This window comes from Homo sapiens, chromosome 9, assembly GCF_000001405.40.
Source record: "Homo sapiens chromosome 9, GRCh38.p14 Primary Assembly".
Taxonomy (NCBI): domain Eukaryota; kingdom Metazoa; phylum Chordata; class Mammalia; order Primates; family Hominidae; genus Homo; species Homo sapiens.
In genome coordinates this window covers 94,093,745-94,112,093 of record NC_000009.12, presented here as the reverse complement: position 1 = coordinate 94,112,093, position 18,349 = coordinate 94,093,745, and the positions used below count along the sequence as shown (strand labels likewise).

The following is an 18,349-nucleotide window of genomic DNA, read 5'->3' as shown; positions in this document are numbered from 1 at the left end:
TACAGACAGGGTTTCACCATATTGGCCCAGCTGGTCTTAAACTCCTGACCTTGTGATCTGCCTGGCTTGGCCTCCCAAAGTGCTGAGATTATAGCCACCGTGCCCAGTCTGTTTTCATTTTTAAAAGGAGAAAAAAAAATGATAAAGCAACTCATTAAATCAAAACCAGAGGCTACTGTCAGACCACTTTCTAGAGATCGGGTAAGCAGGAGCCCATCCTCAAAATGTAATTTTTCTCTAAAATAGGCAATCTCAAGAGTAAAATATCTTTTCATTTTAATCAAGAAAGCCGAGAGGTAAGGGCTTAGCAGGCTTCTCTTACTGTACAAGTTTCAGTGGATGTATGAAACTTTTATTTTCGTTGCAAAAGGTTTTATGACATTTAAGTCTTATTGGGACATTATTTTTAGTGACTGAAGGGCTTTGAACAAAGGCTTGTCAAGCTCCAATACTGAATGGTTCCATTGTGATTATTTATAAATCAGTTTTATTGTCAGTGTTGAGGTAATCAGAGATTAGCTCATGCCTAAAAGCATAACTAAAAAAATAATGACCCACTGAGAAACAGGATTTTGTTGAATTTTTCTCCTGCTACTTTATCTATAAACAATTTGCAGCCATCTAGCATTGAGAAAAGCTCTCTTAGGTAACATGCTAATCTTGTGCCATTCATAAAAAGCATCAAAGAGAACATTGTTCTTGATTTACCTGCACTGAAAATATATTAATGCTTGCTAATTTGGAATAATAATAAAGATCCTATGAGTAAGCTGTCATTTTTAAATTGACCCCCCAAATTACATGGGGCTGTCAGATGTCAAGAACTTGGGGCTTGCATTCTATCTACATTACACTGTCCCTGGATATTTTTTCGGACATGTGGAGACTAGCCTGAAATAGCACCCAATCATATCAGCAAGCATTCTCCATTTAAGAGAAAATAGAGACACTTTACCTCTGTTGAATTATGATATATGGTGGTTTTCATGGAATCCAGAACGATGAAGCAAGTACTTTTTCTCAGATAAGACTGGCAAGCTGGATGAAGATATGACTAAGTAACTCAGCACAGATTTTCTGAGTTACATAAATAAATGAAGCGAGCTCTACCACCAGCAGCAATTTGTCTCAAAGGGCATTAGTAAGCTCTCTGAAGTAAGAAAAGGCAACAGTGGCAAGAAATCATGTACTTCCTCTAAGTGTGATATACTAGAGAACATCATAGGATAATAATAGAGCTGGTTCAGCCTTTTCCAGGACAGATGTGTGATATTTTCACTAAGTTATGGACAGCACAGTGTTCTCTTAATGCCATCATAAAATTTAGTGCTAAAGGGACCTCAAGGTCCCTGAGAAGGCACTTTGACGGGCAGCTTTGCCAGGTTAAGAGTCCTATAGGCAGGTAACATGAGCAGAGAGGAGGGCACAGCACGGGGTCCATTGGACTCCACATCTCACGTCACACAGTTATGATTAAGACTTCTGAGGCCAGGTGCGGTGGCTCACACCTGTAATCCCAGCACTCTGGGAGGCCGAGGTGGGAGGATCACTTGAGCTCAGGAGTTCAAGACAAGCCTGGGTAACATGGTGAAACCCTATCTCTACAAAAAATACCAAAAAAACAAAAAAACAAAAAATTAGCCAGATGTGATTGCATGTGCCTGTAGTCCCAGCTACTCAGGAAGCTGAGGTGGGAGGATGGCTTCAGGCTGGGAGCGGAGGTTGCAGTCAGCCAAGATCATGCCACTGCATTCCAGCTTGGGCTACGGAGCGAGACCCCCGTCTCAAAAAAATATATATAAATAAATGAAATAAAAAAGACTTCTGTCAAGATAATTCAGTGAGGTAATGGATACGGCTGGCCCATGGTAAGTTCTTAATATGTGTGTGCCCTTAACCTTCCTATTTCTGTTGAACTGAATTTTTCAACCTTATCACTTCTCCCAATATGTGAGATTTCTGTCCTCTGGGCTACAAAGAACTCCTCATCCAAATATGGGAAGTTAGGAATCTTGTCAGCTTGGAGATTTTCCCCAGCTATTCCTCTTAGAACTCACCTATCCCAACCCCCCAGTGTTTGGTCATGCTGAACTGATGGAAGGAGTCTGCACTAACTAGAGCTTGGCTCACTGAATCAGCCGACAACTCAATCTGCCTATTAGGATAATCTAAGACAAAACCTTGTCTTTATCATCAGATGTCCTAGAGCATCAAGGTAAAGAAGTACAGGACTAGGATTATGGGTTGCTCTTTTTATTTTTATTCAAATAAATACAATACTTATGTATAGCCTGATTAATTTCCCTTGTCATATCTCTTTTTTCAGGTTTCAGGCTTAGATTTTTAGTTGTGCCATGCTATGGTCACATCATAACTGTTCTCTAAGTTGAAACAAGTATTTCAACAGGCAAATAGCAAACTCGCCAAAAGACCTGTGGGTCACTTGCCCAAATGAGGCCTACTGAGATGAGAACAAACATCTTTTTTTGGTAAAAACTCTATTTTTATAGTGTATCTTTGGATATAATGCAATTGTTTCTTCCCCTTCTTTCCCAGGCCAGGCACTTGAAAATAAGACATTTCAGGGATGGGCAACCCACTCCATTAACATCCACTGGACTCAATTTCCCAAGAAAATTAAAACAGTGTGAAAGAACACTGCATTTAGCATTTGGCATTTCAGTTAATGAGACTGATAATGACTGAAATATTTTTGATGTGCTAGAAGTCAATTCAGAAATGTAGGACTGGAGAAATTTCATTTGTTCTAAATGAGTCTTGCTTCCCCTGAAATTCCGTCTTTAAGCAGTAACTTCTTTAGTTCGAAATTAGTCTGATTAATATCACCTTTATTGGGAAGAACTATTATCCTCTCTGTGGCTTGGCCTCTGGTATCTACGTATATTAATTTAAATAAAAGTATGGCTTCAACTGATAATTGATGGTTCAGCTTACAAGGAACTAGTTTAGGCAGTCACCCTTCTTACATGAAGCCAGTTAGGGCTAATGCAACCTGTATGGTCAACTTCAGTTTAAAAATCTTAATTCTCATTGTAAGAAAGCAGCCAAATATAAAGCCTTGAGGCAAGTGGGTCTATGGAGTGGCAGATTTGGGAGTGTGGGGCCAGGGCCACGCTGCTCATGCTAATACACCATCAGTACAAACAGTGGCCCAGTTTTGACTTCCTCCAGCTCCAAGAGTCACCTCTGCAGAGTGGCTGTGGCATCTGAGAGAGCAGGGCTGGCACAGAGCCCCTGCCCTGCACGAATATCCCTGTGGAGTCCCCGGGAGGACAGAGGCAAGCCCTGCTTCTTAGCAACTTTCCACACTTCCTGCCTCTGATCCCACTTCCTCTGTAAAGATGCTATTTGGCTCAGCAGCAACCCAAGGGAGTGGGAATAAGGCTTGGTGTGTTGAGAACTGCTCCTGCCTCCTTTTGACAGCCAAGGCTGGCAAGGTTGTTTGGAAATCTGACAAAGAGCAAGTCTACTTTCTACAAGCAAAAAATCCCAACCACTTCACAGTCACTCCATTAAAGTAAAACTAAATCTCTCTGAAAAATAATATGCTTTGAAACCCTCTGTTACATTTATAAAAAGAAAAGGAAAAACAAAAAATTTCAAAGTTAAAAAAGAAACCTTTAAAAATATTGTAGCAATAGCCTTCTTCGTAACAAATATAAAACAGCTTAAGACACTTGGTGACTTTCTTAGTTCATCTGTGGGGGAATGGATACACAATGAGGTTTTACTACTAAAGTTAGCTATTTGGTAAAAACTCTAGGAAGAGTTCCATCAAGAAAATGGTTATTTTGGAAAGACAAGTTATGATTATTTCCAAAATGTCAAAAGAAATAAGAATGTAAACACCATATACTTAAAATGTTAATACAATAATATTAACTCAGTCAAATAAATAAAAGAAAGTGGCACCAAATTTATGGCAATTTTTCAAAACAAAAATGTAGCTTAAATATATTTTAAAATAAATAATTGGTTCAAATACGGACGACCATTCTCAGCACAAACTAACAACATTCAAAATAAAGTGCTATGAGAAAAAGTAGCCCCACAATCTTCAACTTATTCACATATGAACAGAGATACTATCTGGATCTTTAGGTCTGAAATATTCACCACGAGTGAAAGCTAGAGGCCAGGCTTAGGGCCATCTTTTGTCATTTTTCTTTTTTCTTCCAGCGTGTGCTTAAATATTTTCTTCAGGGTGTTGTAAACTGTTGGTCCATTTTCAGAATCAAAATTAACCTGGTGACAAAGAAATTTATATTCAGGACACTGTAACAAGAATTTGAACTAGTTTCTATTTTGAGAGAAGGAGGGGGTGGAGAAAAAAAACAGACTTACAAACAAAACTCTATATAAAATACACATAATAAATTTCACACATTTTATTTGAAAGACTATTAGAACTGCCAACCATGTCAATATCAAACTTATGAATGAAAACCCCAAAATTAAATCTAGTGCCTGGATATTTAGTCTAATTATATACACCCAGTCATGAAGCAAGTCAACAGTGGGTGTGAAGTGAATTTTTTGAGACTAATCATTGATGGTATAAGAGAAAAGTTTCCCATATTAAAACAGCACATCAGCTGTATACGTCCTGCTGAGAGGCCCTACGGCCACTCTGGACAGGGTCAGAGTGACCTGAATAGAAGCCCAGCTCCCCACCTGCCAGCTACATGTCCTCATCTCATACCCAACCTCTCTGGACCTTGATCTCCTCCTTTGTAAAACAGAGATAATGATACCCACCTTCATAGGATAGCGTATCTATGAGTCTAACATGTTTGGCACATATATACAAACCTCAACTGGCTGGGTGTGGTGGCTCATGCCTGTAATCCCAGCACTTTAGGAGGCCGAGGTGGGAGAGTTGCTTGAGCCCAGGAGGTTGAGACCAGCCTGGGCAACATGGCAAAACCTCATCTCTACAAAAAATTAAAAATTTAGCCAGGCATGGTGGCACATGCCTGTAGTCCCAGCTACTTGGGAGGCTGAGGTGGGAGGATTGCCGGAGCCCAGGAGGCAGAGGATGCAGTGAGCTGAGATTGTGCCACTGCACTCCAGACTGGGTGACAGAGTGAGACCTTGTCTCAAAAAACAAACAAACAAACAAACAAACAAACAAACCCCACCTTGATAAAGTAAATTTCCTTTCCCCTTGATGGGAGCGCACTATTTACACATATTTGCATTTTTCACCCAAGTTTACCATACTCTGGGTTAGCAGTGATGGCAGGACAGAGAACCAGAGCAAGTACCCACCCTCAACCCCATTCCCAGAGTAATGTGTAACTCCCTGGGAAAGAATCAGGGTCACACAATCACTGCTTCTCTGCTTCTGGAATTTCTCCCTCTCTGATAAATTTTGACAAATGAAAGGTTGTTCCCTCTGTCAACAACTGTAAAGGATCTGAGACCTTAACCTGTTAGCTTGCCAGTGTTATGGATACTGGTAGAAGATACGAGATTCCTGGGTCAGAGACAGACAACTTTTATTTCTCACAGCTGCATGTGCTTCATGTTCACATGGGTTCTCCTTGTCTCTCAAGTCTCATGGAGGCAATGCAGAAGGGCCTAGGTGGAGGCTGCACAAGCACGGGGTTTGCCTCATAGCTGAGGAGCCCCAAGCTTAGGAAACTCCAATGTTTCACAAGGGGGCTGCAAGCAAATCTGCCAACCTTTGCCCTGAAGGGAAACATTTTTATTATCCTGGAAGTCAGAACGTGTGCCTTCTGCTCTCCAGGCAGAGCTCTCCAGACATTAGTGAAGAGTTGATCCTCAAAGAGAGTGGTCAGGGCATCTGCTCATCAGACTATGAAGAGACATGAGAGACCCAAGGAAAACTGTCTCCTAACATTTTCTATAGACAGATTTTGAACAACTGTTATCTCTAACTTTTCATTCGTATCCCCTTAAAAGGCCAAAAGAAGTTGTAAAGAATTCCTACTGCTTTCAGAGAGACCAATCGTAAGGATTTTTTTCAGTTAAGCTCAGGAATTTAATTTTATCTATAACTATATTATCTATCCCCTTTGCAAAAAACTCCTTATTAACATTAATAATGGTGTGAATTGTTTACTTTTTTTTTTTTGAGATGGAGTCTTGCTCTGTCGCCCAGGCTGGAGTGCAGTGGTGCAATCTTGGCTCACTGCAAGCTCCGCCTCCCGGGTTCACACCATTCTCCTGCCTCAGCCTCCCGAGTAGCTGGGACTACAGGCGCCTGCCACCATACCCAGTTAATTTTTTTGTATTTCTTTTTAGTAGAGATGGGGTTTCACCATGTTATCCAGGATGGTCTTGATCTCCTGACCTCGTGATCTGCCCACCTTGGCCTCCCAAAGTGCTTGGATTACAGGCTTGAGCCACCATGCCTGGCCACTTTTTTTTTTTTTTTTTTGAGACAGAGTCTCGCTCTGTTGCCAGGCCGGAGTGCAGTGGCGCGATTTCGGCTCACTGCAACCTCCACCTCCCGGGTTCAAGCCATTCTTCCACCTCAGCCTCCTGAGTAGCTGGGACTGCAGGCGCACACCACCATGCCCAGCTAAATTTTTGTACTTTAGTAGAGATGGGGTTTCACCATGTTGGCCAGGATGGTCTCAATCTCCTGATCTCATGATCCACCCATCTCAGCCTCCCAAAGTGCTGGGATCACAGGCGTAAGCCACCACTCCCAGCTCTGTTTACTTTCTTAAACACCAAACCACAACCTTCTTCACATGGTGGGTAGCCTCTCAGTCTATGAAAGTGTAAATACAGATGTAAAGGACCACGCGGTTTGGATTTGAGACTACTGACTCTGGAAACAGTGGAGAACAGATTGAAAAGATGTCAGTGGTTAGTGCCATAGAATCCAGATGAGGAACAAGGAAGGCCTGAAGTAAGAACATCACTCCGGAAAGAGTGGAGGGGAAGGAGACTGGACAAATATTAAAAAGGAAGAATCTTTATAACTTGTTAATGAGTATAAATAATAACTTCTTATCATTAATGTTACCACAGATGTTGTCATTCAAAAGCTGGGTTCTTTGTTTAATGACACTTTCATATCAATGAGAGGTAACAAACAAATTATAGATACTTTCATATCAATGAGAAGTAATAAACAAATTATAGCTGATGGGGTAAGGGGAAACTTTTCTCTCAGTATGAACCTGGCTGCTTCTTCTTTCTTCAGCCAGGAAAAACTGCTGCATCCAAAAGGATGGGCTTTTAGAAAGGAAACCTTTTTTTTAACTCTTTCCTTAGGATTTGCCAACCAGGACTCAGTACTGAATTAGCAATGTGGGATGTTTAATTCTCAATAGATGGCTTCTTACTTACACCCAAGGTAGAACTGACTCGACAAGCAAAGATTCTCTGACTCTGATTAGGCACATGATCTAAAAATATGTATTCAACACTCAGTTGTTTCTCTCTTTCTTTTATATAAAAGCTCTTTGTTCCAACGTTCTCCTTCAAAAAACTCACAATTCAGCTTTTCCTAAGATCATTGTTTGGAAACTTTTTTTTTGGTCAAGACTCTGCAACTACTTAGAAGAAATGTCAAACAGATTTCCATGAAGGGAAAACATACACATACATGTTTTATTTTAGAGGAGGACGGTGACCTCTGGATTCTGATTTACAAAGATGATGCTGATCTGTGGTTCAGAGAGGGGAAAGGAAGAGTATGACCCACCTTAGTGAATGCCTTAATGGCATGGGCAAGGAAAGCTTCCTCCACATCCACGGGAATTGTCTGCAGGTTCACTATGCAGTGCAACACGCAGAGAATAGTCTGGTGCTGTCCCTGTTTTTGTAGAAATCAAAATTTAAAAAATTTTTCAAAAAATGCCTCAATAAATCAATTCAAAACTATCGTAGAGTCAAGAATTGGTTTGTGACCAAGTACTCATAATGTCAAATGCCAAAATATCTAACAAAATATCTAAACATCAACAAATGTTTATTGTTATGTGTTAATATAATTTGAAAAGCTTTCAGGAGATAATATCAAAGCTGGCTAGCTATTGTACAAAGTAAAACTAAATTTGAAGATCAGTGCACTTTTAAACCAAGTGTTTCTCTTGCAGTGAACTGAATAGATTTTCCCATTCTTGTTGTTTCTGGATATGTCAGTAGTCTAGTAGATGGTGACATGTCATAGAGATACATGGACTAATTAACTGGGCACTGAGTGGTCAGGATCTGGGTACCCAGCCACTGCATATGATATGGAGGGAGGCAGGTAGACAAAGAAAAGGACAAGGACAACCCCAGTCCCCCAGGAGCAATGCAGTGCTTAAGTGCTTAGCCTCCAACCTAAGGGGGTAAGATACTTAAAAATGTGTCCACTGACTTGACTCCTGGGGGCTGTTTACCTTAGCAAAGAAGAAATTCCATCACCTTCAGCAATACATATCCAAGATGTAATGTACAGGGACCCATAAATTTCAACTCTGAAAATCTACTCTAAGAGCATAATCTATAATAAAGAAACACCTGCAAGCACAAATTATCATTACAATGACGCCTATGAAAGTAAAAAACCTGAAGCAATATAAATGCCCTAGGTGAATTGCCCGAGGGTGAATTAGGATAAAACAGGCAGCCTTATGTAATAGAAAGCACATGGGCTTTGTGCCAAAGTGGTCTGAGCTTGAATTCTGCTCTGACATGTGGTGCCAACCTTGGGCATGCAACCTCAGCTTTCCTTGTCTGTGAAATGGGCCTCTACCTCTAAGGGGTATTGAGATAAACAGAAGAGAAAATGTAAATTATGTCCTGAAGGGCTTGGCCCAGTCACCTACCAAACATTAATCTGCCTTTTCACCATCTCCTGTTTTAACTCTGTGATTTAATTGCTGAGAAAATATCCTAAGAAAAGGACTTCGGATACAGGAAAAATCACTTCTTAAAAGATATGTATTGCATAACTGTGGTATGTGAGTGTATGTGTGTGTGTGCAGGCACGCACATGTCTGTGTATTGTGTATTGTATCTGTGTGCATGTGTGTGAACACATGTATCTGCATGTCTGCATGTGCATCCGTCCATGTGTCCGTGTGTGTGTGTGTGTGTGTGTGTGTGTGTAGTAACAGCAGAAGATTTTTAGTGAAATTTAGAAACTGAGGAGATGTTTACATGGAGCATAGCAGGTAACTCAAGGCTGGTTATTCAATAACATTGTTTGTTAAAACAAAAACAGGCCTGGCATGGTGGCTCATGCCTGTAATCCCAGCACTTTGGGAGGCCAAGGTGGGTGGATCACATGAGGTTGGGAGTTTGAGACCAGCCTGACCAACATGGAGAAATCCTGTCTCCACTAAAATTACAAAATTAGCCGGGCGTGGTGGCACATGCTGTAATCCCAGCTACTCGGGAGGCTGAGGCAGGAGAATCGCTTGAACCCGGGGGGCAGAGGTTGCAGTGAGCTGAGATCGCGCCATTGCACTCCAGCCTGGGCAACAAGAGCAAAACTATGTCTCAAAAAAAGAAACAAACAAAAACAAAAACAAAAACAAACCCTGTTTTAAACTGAAAATTTAGTATCTCTGTATGGATAAAAATGATAAATTATATAAAAGGATTCATACAATTTCTCCCGTTTCCTAGATCCATTGTCTTCTAATATCTTTTCCTAAAGGTGACCACTATTACCAGTTTCTTATTTCTCCTTCTATATTTTATACATATATACATATTTCCTCTATTTTAAACATATATCTTTTATATATAAAATATAGAAAACATCTATATTTTACAAATAAAAATTATATATACATGTATATATGTGTGACACCTACCCCTTTTTAAAAATACGAATGAGTGCATATCCCAACCTAATTCATAATTTTTCCCATATGCATGCTCACAGCAAATAAGTAGAAACAAACAACCAACAGTGAAACAGTGCTTAATTATGGCACAGTCTCGTGTTACAGCATCATATCCGTTAAGAGTCAATATTTATGAAAAGCTTACATTATTCACAGGAAAATAGCTATGTTATAACTTTAAGCAAAAATGAAATATAAACTTGTATGTTAAAATGATTTTTAACAAGTTAATATACATATTGGTAAGTTTAAAATGTTTGAAAATGTTTGCAGTGCCTCTCCCAGGACTATGGATAGTTCTCGTTTTTATTTTTGTATTTTCTAAGTGTTTACACTGGGTATCAGTTTCTTCTCTTCTCTTGGAAAAACTATTAAATTAGATCTAGATTTGGGATTCTGTGTGAATTCTCTTTTTTTATAATGGATTTTTTTTTTCTGCGTGAAAAACTAAGGGCCTCAGTTACAGTCATTAACTGGTCCTACAGCCACTTTACCTTCTCTAATAAAAAAAGTGCTTCTGCGGCATCTGCTCGCCTGTCAACCAACATGTCCACATCCTCTTTGGTGATTACAGGCTCCTTCAGTTGCTCCACCCAAGACCACATCAAGCTGCATAGGATGAAAGGGTCCCTCTCGCCACATATTCTTTCCCAAGCTCCATCTCGGGAATTAAGCTCTTTCTAAAAAGGAAGAGAAAGAGACAGACAGACAGAGACAGAGACAGGGAGAGGAGAGGGAGGTGCACCATTTGACACTGCATGATTCTTGCGCTGCCCACAAGAGTGAAAGACTCAGGCTCCAGAGTGCAGAACTGGGACCCCTCCCAGCCTCTCCACTTCCAGGCTGGACACTGGACTAAGACACTGAATTCTGTAAGCCCCAGTTTCTCTCTATGAAACTCATCCCCTGCTTCACAAGCTGTTGGGCTGATTGACTGAGATAAGGTCGGTTAAAGCTTATAGCACAGGGAAAGGGCTTAGTTAATCCAAGTTCTCTACTTTATTCAGAAACCACAGAAACAGTTCACAAGAGTCTTCCTTTTCAGCCTTCTGGTGAACAAAACAGAACTATTTTTTTGCAATAAAGTAGATGGTAGATGAGAAAGTAGAAATAAGGGAACATTTATACATTAACCTGGGGTCTAAGGAAAAGGAAAAGCTTTGAGCTTCGAAGTCTGCAAAAATAAAATAAAGGTGCTTGAAAGCTGGTAAATGGGGCATATGTACTTCTTTGAAATATCTTTTTAGCATCCTATGTAGGATTTAACAATAAGCCCCGAGTCCTGAAATTTGACATAGGGAAGATAACTGGAAAGTTTTTCTAATACTCCAAATGCCTAGAGAAAATTTAAGCATGAGATTTTAATACTTTACCTCACAGAGAGCAAGGGAAAAGTGAGATAAGGATTTTCATGAATTTCTGACAGGGTTCAGATTTATGTTTTAGTGAGTCAAATACATTTTAACAAAATAGAAGTTAAGTGTAATAATTGCTACCATTCACTCATTCATTCACCTACCCAATATTTACTACATGCACACAGTGGGACAGAGACTGTAATACATGTCTTATCTCTAACTCTCAAATGGCACCCAGCAGGGAGCTTCCTCACCAATACATATAATGGGGCTCAAGAAAGATGAAATAACTCACCTAGGAGCCAAAAGCTAGAAAATGGCAAAGGGGGTGTTCATACCCAGTTCTGCCTTACTCCAGAGTCTGTGCTGTTTCTATTATGCCACAAGGGCCCTCTGGTACTGGGCTTCTCTTTATTATCTTATGAATACACCAATACTTTGTTATTCACAGTCCTTCATATCCCATAGATCATGTATAAAACAAAGTAGCTCTTGATTCAATCTTATGAAGGAGACAAGCTGGGCAGAACTGACACTAATCAAAAATGCTCTTAGCAAAATGACTATCTTATCATGATGTTTCCTGAGGCTCTCCAGGGAGGTTAGCCAAGAATCTTGGGATAATGGAAAGTGTTAAACACATGTGCTGTACCCTGACTCTGCCACACGCATGCCACGTGACCCTGAGCAAGTCACTTACCCTCTAACCTTCATGACCTTTAGCATCCTCATCTGTGATACTGAATTCACAAGATTAACAAAGACTGTAGAAATAGTATCATCTGCCTTACAGATATGTTCTATGATAACTGTGAAAAATCACATGAAATAATATATGTGAAATGGTCTAGTACAGGCATGGGTGGCATTATACTATTCAAATAATGTTCATTTTATTCTTTTCCAGAATTCAACTGATTTTTTTGATAACTAAAAGTCCTAAAATAAAATCTAGAATGGAAAAAAATGCAAAACTATCCTGATTAAAGGTCTGTGTTCACCTCCAGAAAATGCTTTCATATACACTACATACGGTCTGGCCCAAACCAAGTCCTGAACGCTTCATCACCACAGCAGAGCTTGCATGGGCACTGGGGCTGACCCAGGAGTGGGGGTGCGAGATTTTCATCTAAAATAGAAGACTCTCTTTCTTGCTAACTCTTAACACACAGTAATGCCCAGGAAATATTTGCTGACTGAATGAAAGACTTTTTCAGTTTGGAGCAGAAAATAAAGAAAACAATTCATTTTGGAAGAAAGCAATACATTTAACTATTGGATAGGCGAAACACAATTCTGAAGAACAAAATTTTTATCAAAAGTTCTCTCCTCCCATCATATAATTAAAAGTTAATGTGAAGCTCCAAACTTAATTTTCATGCCTCTGCAACTGAAGAGATACTGGCACTCAGAAATTTTATATGCCTTGTTTAATCAATGGCAGACTATGAAAGCGAGCTATTAAAATAATTCACAGTAGGTTATGGGCTCAAAAGTCAAGATCTCGGTGATTCACGACTGTCCAAGTCAGCCTCCTTTTGGGGTAGTTTAGCTGTTTCTCATAGCTAGGTTTATAAGGCCTATCTTTTCTCGAGAACAGGTGCTCATTCAGGGCAAAGAAAGTGTGGCTGACTTATGACTGTATCCTAGTAAAAGCACAACACAAAAAAGAGTTAAACATTTACATTCTAATTGAAGTAAAAGCTAAGAAATGGACCCCAAAGACCTCAACTCAGCTAAAGTGAATGGCACGTAGTAATCTGTGGTTTCACCCACTTGCTCTCCTGATTTCCCATAGTTGCCCTATTAGGGCAGGATTGGCAAGTCTGAAGGAGAGGATGCCAAAGAGACAGCCTCACTCTTCTGACCTTGCTCAGCACCAGTGTTGATGAGCTTTGAAAAATAAACATTTTATTTATGTCTGCACGTCAGTAGTTCTCAAAGTATGATTCCCTCTGCCAGGCCTCATAAAGATGCTTCTAGTCAGTTTCGAATGCTGTCTGCTGTGGGCCAGTTGCCCCCATAGGCCCAGGAAGAAGGAAACTACTAATATCAATGCCTTGTGTGGGTCAAGCATCACACCAAGTGCTTTCTTGAGTATGCAGATTTAAATGAAACCATACAAACACCCTGTGTTTTTTCTATAACATCAGGTTCGCATCAGAGACGAGAAACCTGAAGTTAGAAAGTATTATGCAAACGTATCTTCACATTTCTATAATAAATAAGTTTGGGAAAATGTATCACACTTTTGCCCTGACATAAATATTTCCCACATATCTATAATTAAATTAAGTACTAATAATACCTGCCACATTTCTACCTTCCTTTTTAGTTCCTCCTTTTCTACAGATTCATTTAAATTTGCTAGGGCTTTGGCCGCCAGTATTCTTCTTGCCTCAGCACTCAATTCAGACTGTAATGCAGAGTGTGAAGCTGCTTCAGACAGATCTTTACTGTCCTGGGTTTCATGTTCAACCAAGAACTGTGCTTTGGGACTGGAGCCACAGTCCAGAGGGCTTCGGGGTGTCCTGCTGTTCTGCCTGACAGAGCCAGGGCTCCCAACACCATGAGTTTTACACTGACAGTGAGACACTTGCTGGTGAGCAGGGTTTGGATCCTTATGGACATTTGCAAAGCTGGGTGAAACTGGCTCCCCAGGGCTGTGTGAGCCTGAAACATCTGCAGAGAAAGCTCCACTCTGCTGTGCTTCCTTTGGAATGATCCTTCCATGGAAAATTGGTGACCCATTATCTTTGAGTCCTTCCAGGCCTCCAAACTTTGACTGACTCCAGAAAGAAAGTGTGCTGCGAACCAAGGCTTCCTTGTGTAAGTCTGGTTCTGGAGACTGTGGGATGTAACAATGGCTTATGAGCTTCTGCTGCCTGGGCTTGTGGCCAACCAAGATCTGGGCAGGCACTGTCTGTGGAGTCTCCCCTTGCTCCAGGAGGTTCTCGGCCCTCTTTAAATCTGAGTCACTGTAGCTGAGCCGCCTTTTCAGATGAGTCAGGGGTTGAAGGCACTCAACATTCCGCCTTTTCCAAAGAGGGTCAAACTGTTGCTCATTGGAGAAAATCATGCCTCGATTGTCAAAATCTGCTGCCACTGCAGTGGGGTTAGGCGGGTTGGACACATCACTGTCATGCCTCAGTAACTCTTTATCCAGCTGCATGGTGACCATCTCAGACATTGTCTTTTCTATTTCAGCAGAGAGACCAGGTCCTTCGGACACATCCTTCATCATCACTGGCCTGTTCTCCGCTAAGTCCAGCAGCAATTTGCAAACTAGGTGGATAATTTTTGGCACGTGTTTCAGAAGTCGTGCCTCATAACCATGAAGCAGATGACGCTGGCGAATTAGATATTGAGGTAAGGTGACAGCATGTGCTTTGGGATCACAGCAAGAGAATATATTGCGGAGAGGAGTTAGAAACTGAGTAAATTCCCTTACACAGAGGAGCTGTCCTCTGGTTTGTATGGAATTGGGTCGCTTTGCCCGCACAAATATAATTGCTTGGTCAGCAGTCATTCTCGTTGCAAAAACTAAGTAACAGGCTATTAAAACACCTAAACAGTGAAGAAGAGAAGACTGGTATGAGAAAAGCTTACATTTTTATTTATTTTATTTATCACTCTTTGATGATTTACAATTTGAATATGTGTTAAGAAACCATATAAATAGAGACACATTTTAAGGACAATTATGATGATAACTTTGTGACTTTTTGTAGAGGTGTTATTTTGCACGTTCCTTACTGCACAGAACTTTATTAAATGTCTATGTGGCACCGCCTCCCCATGACTGAGTCATCTCAGTAGCCCAGAGCTGTGCCAGCACAGGCACAAGGTAGGTGAGTAAGTGTGCAGGAGGGAAGGGAAACTGATCATCTGGCCCATCTATCCTCCTTGTTCTACTTAACTCCATCAGAAGAAAGCAAATCCTGTTTCTATTTTCCACTCTGAACAGTTCTTGAGAATTTCCATCCAATCAATCCATACACTTTGTGTTTGGAACCTCCCACCCTGCTATCTTTGCCATCAACTGCTGGCACATCCCAGCTTGGCACTCTCCCTACCACGGCAGTTTCTTCTTTAGGGATTATTCATATTTGCAGCCTACTTTTCTTCTTGGCAATTCTTTTTCCAGATTGTGCCTATACTAATATGTGTTTTCCTTCAGACCATGATATAATTCTATTTTTCCATAAGCAATTATGGAAAATTAAGCAATCTTAAGGAAGCCAGGCTTAGTGGTATAAACATTAGGTATTCTTACTAACATCTAATTAAAAGGAATAACTAGTAAGGTTATTACTAGTTAAAAGGTAATAATTAATAAATTAATTCAAATATAACAGTCAATTAATATTAAAGTAAAAGGCAAATCAAATACACCTGTGTGATCCCCAAGTTTGTGAACATCTTGTTACATATGAAAATCAGAACCTCTGAAAACTGCATGCTCTCCAGTTCACAGTCGGTAACAACATACCTTTCTCACTAGGACACAGAAGATCTTAGTATAAATGTAAAATGTCTGCAGAGCTATCATGTCAATGTCTAGAAACAGTGAGATTTTGGCTTGATCCTAAGAGCTACTAATCTCAAGCAGAGCTGAGTCCCCTCCCCTGCGCATGCTTCCAGGTATGTGGCAGATCCCCTGGCAGGAGCACAGGTACACTGCGGACAGAGCTGAGCTGCATGTGGTTGGATCAGATGACAATGAAAATTTCAGCCCTACGGCCTTCATTTTTGCCCCAATATCAGCACTGTAATGAAATTCAGCTGAATGTTTTAAGTAAAATCACTGACTTTTTAATAGAATTCTGGGCACAGATAGACTCTTCTTCACAAACAAAATCCTTATACCTCCAAAAATGGAAAGCACATGAACTCTGGAGTCAGACAACCATGGATTTAAAGTGTGGCCCTGGCACTTACTAAATGTAGCAAATTACTTCTCTCAAATTGCAGTTTCTCCAACTCACATTGTTGCTAAAGACTTTAAAATGATATATATACGGTCATTGTAACTACCTGTTTACGGTATTTCAAATATCTTAAAATTTTTTTTGATTTAATTTTTAATGTTAACATAATAATTATACATATCTATGGGGTATATAGTGATGTTTTAATACATATAATGTATAGTGATCAGATCAGTGTATTTAGTATACGCATAATCTTCAACATTTATCATGCATTTGTGTTGGGAACATTCAATATCCTCCTTCTAGCTATTTGAAACTATATATCATTTTAACTATAGACACCCTACAGTGGTACAGAACACTAGAACTTATTCCCTTCTTCCACCTGACTCCAAAGCTTTGATAGGATTCTGAGAAACATTTACCCTCAAATTAGGAAATCTTATTCCTTTTATGTTTAAATATGCCTACAGGCAATAAACCACCTCTTAGGACCTACCTGTTCGACCAAGCCCTGCATGACAATGGATAGCTACTTTTCCTTCCTGTAAGGCAAATGTCATCACCTTCACCATATCTAGGATAGTAGTAAGAGACGCTACACCATAATCCTTCCATCCGAAATTGTAGAAGTAAACTAGGAAAAAAGAAAAGGAAAAGAAAATCAACATACAGGAAATTAATGAAAGTACAAACACTAATGAAAAGTACACAGATCTACACTGAGACTGAGGCATGTAGATCTCAGTGCATACACTGCATAAAATAAGAGGGATTTTACATTCCCAGTAACTTTACTGTTAACATTTACTCACAAAGCACATTTTATGTTACTTAAGACATTTCCTGAGGGGAGGAGCCAAGATGGCCGAATAGGAACAGCTCCGGTCTACAGCTCCCAGCGTGAGCGACGCAGAAGACGGGTGATTTCTGCATTTCCATCTGAGGTACCGGGTTCATCTCATTAGGGAGTGCCAGACAGTGGGCGCAGGTCAGTGGGCGCACGCACCGTGCCTCAGCCGAAGCAGGGCGAGGCACTGCCTCACTTGGGAAGCGCAAGGGGTCAGGGGGTTCCCTTTCTGAGTCAAAGAAAGGGGTGATGGACGGCACCTGGAAAGTCGGGTCACTCCCACCCGAACACTGCGCTTTTCGGACGGGCTTAAAAAACTGCGCACCACAAGATTATATCCCGCACCTGGCTCGGAGGGTCCTACGCCCACGGAGTCTCGCTGATTGTTAGCACAGCAGTCTGAGATCAAACTGCAAGGCGGCAGCAAGGCTGGGGGAGGGGTGCCCGCCATTGCCCAGGCTTGCTTAGGTAAACAAAGCAGCCGGGAAGCTCGAACTGGGTGGAGCCCACCACAGCTCAAGGAGGCCTGCCTGCCTCTATAGGCTCCACCTCTGGGGGCAGGGCACAGACAAACAAAAAGACAGCAGTAACTTTTGCATACTTAAATGTCCCTGTCTGACAGCTTTGAAAAGAGCTGTGGTTCTCCCAGCACGCAGCTGGAAATCTGAGAACGGGCAGACTGCCTCCTCAAGTGGGTCCCTGACCCCTGACCCCAGAACAGCCTAACTGGGAGGCACCAGCAGGGGCACACTGACACCTCACACGGCAGGGTATTCCAACAGACCTGCAGCTGAGGGTCCTCTCTGTTAGAAGGAAAACTAACAAACAGAAAGGACATCCACACCAAAAACCCATCTGTACATCACCATCATCAAAGACCAAAAGTAGATAAAACCACAAAGATGGGGAAAAAACAGAACAGAAAAACTGGAAACTCTAAAAAGTAGAGCACCTCTCCTCCTCCAAAGGAACGCAGTTCCTCACCAGCAACGGAACAAAGCTGGATGGAGAATGACTTTGACAAGCTGAGAGAAGACTTCAGATGATCAAATTACTCTGAGCTACGGGAGGACATTCAAACCAAAGGCAAAGCAGTTGAAAACTTTGAAAAAAATTTAGGAGAATGTATTACTAGAATAACCAATACAGAGAAGTGCTTAAAGGAGCTGATGGAGCTGAAAACCAAGGCTCGAGAACTACGTGAAGAATGCAGAAGCCTCAGGAGCCGATGCGATCAACTGGAAGAAAGGGTATCAGCAATGGAAGATGAAATGAATGAAATGAAGCGAGAAGGGAAGTTTAGAGAAAAAAGAATAAAAAGAAATGAGCAAAGCCTCCAAGAAATATGGGACTATGTGA

General features: G+C 40.9%; 1 protein-coding gene across 4 annotated transcripts in view, besides 1 other annotated feature; it reads right to left on the bottom strand.

Moving 5' to 3' along the window:
- Positions 1-2,237: 2,237 nt before the first annotated feature.
- Positions 2,238-18,349, bottom strand: part of PTPDC1 (protein tyrosine phosphatase domain containing 1) — a 79,044-nt gene continuing 62,932 nt past the window's right edge. For 2 of the 4 annotated variants that reach the window (NM_177995.3, NM_001253829.2), the window contains 5 exons: positions 16,640-16,777; positions 13,515-14,773; positions 10,343-10,528; positions 7,709-7,819; positions 2,241-4,266 (listed from right to left, as the gene is read on the bottom strand). In NM_177995.3, the coding sequence (NP_818931.1) occupies positions 4,150-4,266; positions 7,709-7,819; positions 10,343-10,528; positions 13,515-14,773; positions 16,640-16,777 (1,811 nt within the window). In that variant the 3' untranslated portion in view covers positions 2,241-4,149. Of the gene's footprint in view, positions 4,267-7,708; positions 7,820-10,342; positions 10,529-13,514; positions 14,774-16,639; positions 16,778-18,349 lie in introns of all 4 variants that reach the window. The other 2 variants (NM_152422.4, NM_001253830.2) reach the window with 2 other exon arrangements.
- Positions 17,128-17,880: an enhancer, noted in NCBI's record as "NANOG-H3K27ac-H3K4me1 hESC enhancer chr9:96856496-96857248 (GRCh37/hg19 assembly coordinates)". NCBI's record gives its function as "activates a minimal SCP1, AML or CMV promoter by ChIP-STARR-seq in naive and primed H9 embryonic stem cells {active_cell/tissue: H9 hESC(naive and primed)}" and the evidence as "EXISTENCE:reporter gene assay evidence [ECO:0000049][PMID:30033119]".